This window comes from Homo sapiens, chromosome 4, assembly GCF_000001405.40.
Source record: "Homo sapiens chromosome 4, GRCh38.p14 Primary Assembly".
NCBI classification, from domain to species: Eukaryota; Metazoa; Chordata; class Mammalia; order Primates; family Hominidae; genus Homo; species Homo sapiens.
The window spans coordinates 104,124,001-104,131,245 of record NC_000004.12 but is presented as its reverse complement, the minus strand read 5'-3'; the positions used below and the strand labels follow the sequence as shown (position 1 = coordinate 104,131,245).

The following is a 7,245-nucleotide window of genomic DNA, read 5'->3' as shown; positions in this document are numbered from 1 at the left end:
TTTAACACAAGTGTAAATAAATGGATATTTTGCCTGTCAAATTGTTGAAAGCACCCTTCATGTTCCACTAGCCATCTAATCCTGTGAAAACAGAAATGAAGTTACTTCTGCATGATTTGTTCTCTGTGAGCCTGTATTGGTTCTAATGTCAACCCTTCCATTTTCCTATATATATTTTAGGTTGATTTGTTTTACAAATATTAATTGATAATTGTTATATTTTATGTATTTTACCATGTGATAAGAAAAAATGTGTAAACAAGGAAAACACAGCCTCTTTTCTAGAGTTATGAGTCTGGTTGGTATTATGGGCAAGAAGACAATTATAATGTAATAGGTCCAATTGCAGAAAAAATTTCATGATGTATGTTACCTAGATTGTTTGTGTGTGAGGGGACAATGAATTAATGAATATATCATAGAAAAAATAAAAGTAAATATCCAAGCAAAGATTTGAAGGATAACCTCACTGGGGAGGAAGAGAGTTTAGTAGAAAGAAACTAACATTTAAAAAAATACAAGCAAAGGAAATATGAACTATAACCAGAATGAGTACATTTGGTATAGTTGGAGTGAAGAGAGTATACAGGTAGGGAAAAGAAGAGGCTGAAATGATAAACTGAGCCACAACATGAAGCACTGTGCAAACCCTTGTAGCTTTTCCATCTACAGCTGTCGTAATCAACCTTCCTTGCCCCACAAGTTTAGAACATTATTGGCACATTTGCATGTCACAAGCGTACTTGCAAATTCATTTTTTATTATTAACTTTTGTCACAGTCACGTTATATAATTGGAATATAATCAATTAATTTGTTGCTTCATTTGATACTATCATCTATCCCTCTCTATCTATGTATCTATGTATCTATCTATCTATGTATCTATGTATCTATGTATCTATCTATCTATCTATCTATCTATCTATCTATCTATCTATCTATCTATCTGTCTACCTACCTACCTATCACGAGTTGAATTGTGTCTCCAAAATTCCTATGTTGAAGTCCTCATCTCCGGTACCTCATAATGTGACTATATTTGAAGATAGATCCTCTAGTTTGGTTATTAAGTTAAAATGAGGTCTTTAGGATGGATCCTAATCCAAATTCATCGGTGTTCTTGCAAGTAAAGGAGACTAGAACACACAAAGAGACACCAAGGATGTGCATGCACAGAAGAAAGACCCTGTGAGGACACAGTGAGAAGGTGACCATCTGCACACCAAGAAGAGAGGTCTCGGAAGAAGCCAAACCTGCCTTATCTTGGAATTCTAGCTTTCAGCACTGTGAGAAAATAAAATTCTGATGCTTAAGCCACCTAGTATATGGTATTTTGTTATGGCAGCCCTAGCAAACTAATTCAATGTGTGTGTGTGTGTGTGTGTGTGTGTGTGTGTGTGTATTTATATATATATATTTAACATGTGTTTCATTCCCTGCACTCTTCTGTTGAACTAGGATATAAAGAAGAGAGACATTATTTTTAAATTCTAGGAATTTAAAGTTCAAGGTAGAGATATACTAGCAATAGAAATATTACAAAATGAGTATGTACAATAATAGAGATATACATATGGTATGAGGCAATTGGTAGAAAATTATCTCAACACAATGTGGGGTTTCTTAGAGGTGATGGTGCTTCAGCAAAAACTTTATTCGGCAAAAGAAAATATTGATTAGCAGAAAAAGTGGAGTTTGCAAGATGTAAAGGCTGGTTCTTGGTAGAAATATGGCCTTAGTTTTCTGGCTTGTCAAAGAGGTATGAAGGAGCATGGCCGATTTCATGCCTTGCAATGGCACAGTGCTGCTGGCACAGGCGTATATGTGCATGGAGTGGCAGGCAGGAACCTCTTCAGTGATCTTGAAGAGAATTTTTATTATCTCCTATTCAGGGCTTCTCTTCTACGATGACACTTTTTTTTTTATCATTTTCATATATAGATTGTTGTCCTTTCCGAAAGGAAGCAAGTTGGAAATTAATTAATCTTGCCAAACTCTATTATCAGTCTGCTTTCTCTGACCTTTCCCCTACTCAATGGTTCTTTCATTTCTTCATCCACTTTTTAATTTGAAAAGCATATTCTAAAATACAGCAATCTTTTTTCAGTCTTCAGCCCTTTCCCTGACTATCAGTTTTTGCTGAGGTTCTTCCCTCAGTTTTTAACCTATTTTAGTCTGGTGAAAGTTAATGATTAATTCCTCCCCCAGCTGTTACAGGCTCTCAGTACACACAGGAGCACAGAAATACTCAGCAACCCTTAGTCATAACACTGTGGGATATTTACTTCTCTTTCTTCCCATCCTCCACAGTTGTTTGCCTTTTGGATCAGTTGCCTTATGCTAGATTTTAGCTTTTCCCCCTTTAGCTAATCATTCTTTACTAGATATTAAAATCATCAGCAAGGTATTATTAACAATGCAGATTCTCCCAAAATATCCTAATTGAAACTGAAGGAGTATTACATGAAAGGAGAAATCTTCCCTAATTTTTAAGTCTGTAGGGTGTTTATTTAATACTTCTTAGCACCAGGTATACTTAAACCCTTTAATATCAACACTGTGGTACAGTGTTGTTTTTCCCTGTGTTCTTGAGTACATGGCTCCTGAACACAAAGCAACAGGGCTGCATTTGTAGACCTGAAGACACATGAAGAGTATTTAATAGAAAACTCTTGGATTCCTTCCAATTGTAAAACCACATATGGAATCTTATCAATACCACAAACACTAAATTCTTGTTTACACACTCTTTTTACTAGAATCCATGTTTTGTAGCTGGGACAATTTTGATGGCAATCATTAAAACAGCAAATTAATTTCCTGTATTAAGCTTAGGTTTAAATTTTTGAAAGCATTATAGTTCTTGTAGTATTCATAATTCTCCCTAGATACAGAACTAATAGGAGCTATATATACAGATAATAAAGATTTATTATAAGGAATTCGTTCACATAATTGTGGTGAGTAGCAAGTCCAAAATCCACACAGTCAGTGTCTTAGTTCTAGCTGTAAAACTAGTAGCTTCTGTAGAACCAGGAAGAGCCAGTGCTACAGTTTGAAGGCTGTCAGGCAAGAGAATTCTCTTACTTGGAGAAGGGTCAGCTTTTTACTCTATTTAGGCTTTCAAGTGATTGGAAGGGGCCTACACACATTATGGACAATTTTCTTTACTCAGTCTATAACTTTAAATGTTAATCTCATCAAAAATACCCTCACAGAAATACCCAGACTAATTCAAGGAACTATCTCGGATCCTGTGGCCTAGTCAAGTGGACTCATAAAATTAACTGTCCCAGGATCCATGGGTCTAATCTCAAACTCATGGAAACTTAATCTGGGAATAATGTCTGTATGTGCTATGATGTGTGATCTCATTAATTTTTTTTTGTAAATAGATAATTTAGGGAATTCCTTCCTCTTTTTTTTCATATAATAAACTTATTTTGTCAATACTATTAATTAAATTCTGCAACTTTTCTCTATTTAACTTCCAAAACAAACAAACAATTGAACAAAAGAGTATAATATTTTAAATGTCAGTATATGGATGATATGGTTTTAGGCCCCTGGTTGTGTTTCATTGATCATATTTTACATTTTTGTGCCACAACCTTGACATCTTAATCACTTTCACCTTATAATTCTTGATATCTAGAGTAAGCCTTCTTACATTTCTATTTTTCCTTACAAATTCTTAGCTACTCATAACTTTTTGATATTCCATATAAATCTTAAAATCAGCATGCCAAATCTTAGGGACAAAAATTTTATTTGGATTTTTATTACAATTCATTGGATCAATATATCAGTTTGGGAATAATTGCCTATTTTATGGCATCAAATCTTCTTATCCATGACCAAACTCAATCTCTCCATTTATTTATTTCTCAATCTCTCCATTTACTTATAATTAAATAAGATCCACAGTTCTTATTTAATTCCTTTTAATAGTTTAAAATATTTTCTACATGAAGATCTTCACATATTTTGCTAGATTTATCCCTATGCATTTTTTTGTTTTTATTGAAAATAACTTAGAGCATGTTTTATAATTTTTGAAGAATACATAAAAATGCAATTTATATTCACACATTCATCTTATATCCAGCAAACACACAACACCCTTTAAGATTCTAATAATTACTCAGTTTCTTCTTTTGGGTTTTCTATATTAGTGAACATGTCAATTGTGACAAAGATTTTCTCTTCCTAGTAATAAATTGCATGCAGTCTGACAAACACTGCCTTTTCCCTTAGAGTCTAGTCACTTACATTTATTATTATAACTGGCATAAATGACGGTTTTAGTCGTTCTCTTCCAGAAACTTTAAATTTTTTACATCTCTGATAGTATTGCAGCATCTAGTTCTTTTAGTACCTCTTTGGATAGACCACATGGTTCACAAGGTCTTGCATTTAGATTATCATCTTGAAGGACGAAGTCTTTGTCCCCCATTTTTAGGCATTGTTTGATCCTATTTTCTTCAACTGACTTCTCAGTACCATTTACATTTTACAAAATAGTGTCTCAATTTCTGTTTACAGAAATTCTTCCCAGTTCTTTTCTATTAACTGGATAACTTGAAACAATTAATTACTTCTTGTCCTCTCCTCCAATGTGCCACTTTTCGATTCTGAGTCTCTCTCACCTCTAGAATTTGAGTGGCTAAGGGACACAACAACCCTTGTCTCAAATATACAATATAAAGGTTTAATATGGCCATGAAGTTAGCCTACATCCTGGCCATAATCTCCTCCTCTTTAGATGTGTGCTCTTTTTGGGTTTCTGAGCCCCACACATTACAGCAGAATCTTTGGGAGGAGATCAGGTTCCCTCCAGCTTCTCTCTCTAAAATGTTAACCTCTTATAAAGAAGAGAAAAAACGGTGTGAATTTACTCTCCCAAGGGCTCAGAGTGGTTTACTGAGTTTGGCTTTATCCTAGTTGGTCTAGTCTCTACCCAAGAGAGTCAGATTCTAACAACGTATGTCTGTTTAAAATACTCTACCAATGATCATAATGTAATAGAACAGTCATTCCTGTTTTAATAGAGTCTGTGGTTTTGCCCTACAGTTTCATTTAGAGCAGGGAAGCACCTCTTCCATTTTAAGGGGAATCCTTAGCTATTTTTTCTATGCTCCAAGTTTCTGTGTCCCTGAGACATGAATGTCTGCAGTACAGTTTTATTTTCCCAAACCACCCCTATAGACTACAGTTTTTTTTTAATCACTGTGGTTTCATTGATAGATTGGTCACATCTATTCTGTAATAGTCATTTGATATGTACCAGGAGCAAATTGATAAGACTGGCTTATCGCAATTTCCTAGGATTTTGAGTTGGTAAGGACTTCAACTTACATAATGGAATAATACTCAACTCTATGCCCACTTTTCAAAAAAAATTTTTTGAGACCACTTTTCAAATTTTACCCAAAGCTTCCAATCTCAATTCTGCTCTACTTTGCTGTTCTATCTTGGTTCCTAAGAACAAATAGGGTTAGCTTGTTCTATTATTTCTGCAAGTTACTTTTACTAACAAGAAGAGTTTGGCAAACTATTCAGTATCTTTCAGCAGGCTATTTCTTTTTCTTAATTTTTTATTATGTATTAAACTTTTTGTTGGTACATATTAGGCATATATACTAATAGAGCACATGAGATGTTTTGATACAGGCATGTAATGTGAAATAAGCGTATCATGAAAAATGGGTTATCCATCCCCTCAAGCATTTATCCTTTGAGTTACAGACAATCCAGCTACATTCTTTAAGTTCCTTTAAAATGTCAAGTTAAGTGATTATTGACTATAGTCATCCTGTTGTGCTATCAGATAGTAGGCCTTATTCATTCTTTCTACTTTCTGCACTCATTAACCATCCCCAACTGCCCCACAAACCCCCACTACCCTTAACAGCCTCTGGTAACCATTCTTCTATTCTCTATGTCCGAGTTCAATTGTTTTAATTTTTAGATCCCACAAATAAGTGAGAACATGCGATATTTGTCTTTCTGTTCCTGGCTTATTTCACTTAATGTAATGACCTCCATTTCCATCTATGTTGTTGCAAATGACTGGATCTCATTCTTTTTATGGCTGAATAGTACTCCATTGTGTATATGTATCACATTGTTTTTATTCATTTATCTGTGGATGGACACTTAGGTTGCTTCCAAATCTTAACTATTGTAAACAGTGCTGCAACAAACATAGGCATGCAAATGTATCTGTATACTGATTTCCATTCATTTGAGTATATGCCCAGCAGTGGGATATTTGGATCATATTGTAGCTCATGTTTTAGTTTTTTGAGAACCTCCAAGCTGTTCTCCATAGTGGTTGTACTAATTTACATTCCCACAGTGTACAAGGTTTCTCTTTTCTCCACATCCTCACCAACATTTGTTATTTCCCAGCAAGGTATTTTTTTTTTCAGATAAATTTCACTATAGAGATCATGACTAATAACTTGGAATCTGGTATAACTTTACCAAGAATGTCTTTCTGTACTCTTCTTTGAAAAAGACATTGAAAGTCCTGAAATACTTTTATCTTCTCAAATATAAAAAATTTTATTTATTCTTCCCAACTTACCTTCACTCTCTATCAATTCAAAGGCTAGATATACACATTGAATCACTTGTGGCATTTGAAATTATATATTCAGTAGGAGTGGCGAGAGAAGTCATCCTTGTCTTGTGCTGGTTTTCAAGGAGAATTCTTCCAGCTTTTGCCCATTCAGTATGATGTTGGCTGTGGGTCTGTCAAATATGGCTCTTATTATTTTGAGGTATGTTCCTTTAATACCCAGTTTATTGAGAGTTTTTAACATGAAGGGATGTTGAATTTTGTCAAAAGCCTTTTCTGCCTCTATTGAGATAATCAAGTTGTTTTTGTCTTTGATTCTCTTTATGTGATGAATCACACTTATTGATTTGTGTATGTTGAACCAACCTTGCATCCTGGGCATGAAGCCTACTTGATCTTGGTGGATAGGCTTTTTGATGTGGTGCTGGATTTCATTTTCCAATTTTTCCAGTATTCATTGAGGATTTTTGCATGCATTTTAATCAAGGATATCAGCCTGAAGTTTTCTTTTTTTGTTGTGTCTTGCTCAGGTTTGGAAATTAGGATGATGCTGGCCTCATAGAATGAGTTAGGGAGGAGTCCCTCCTTTTTGATTTTTTGGAATAGTTTCATTAGGAATGGCACCAGCTCTTCTTTGCACAGCTGGTAGAATTCAGC

The 7,245-nt window shown here is 34.6% G+C and overlaps 1 annotated feature.

Annotated features, from left to right (window-relative positions):
• Positions 2,100 to 2,394: an enhancer, noted in NCBI's record as "tiled region #10992; HepG2 Activating DNase matched - State 8:EnhW". NCBI's record gives its function as "activates a minimal TATA promoter and a strong SV40 promoter by Sharpr-MPRA in HepG2 cells {active_cell/tissue: HepG2}" and the evidence as "EXISTENCE:reporter gene assay evidence [ECO:0000049][PMID:27701403]".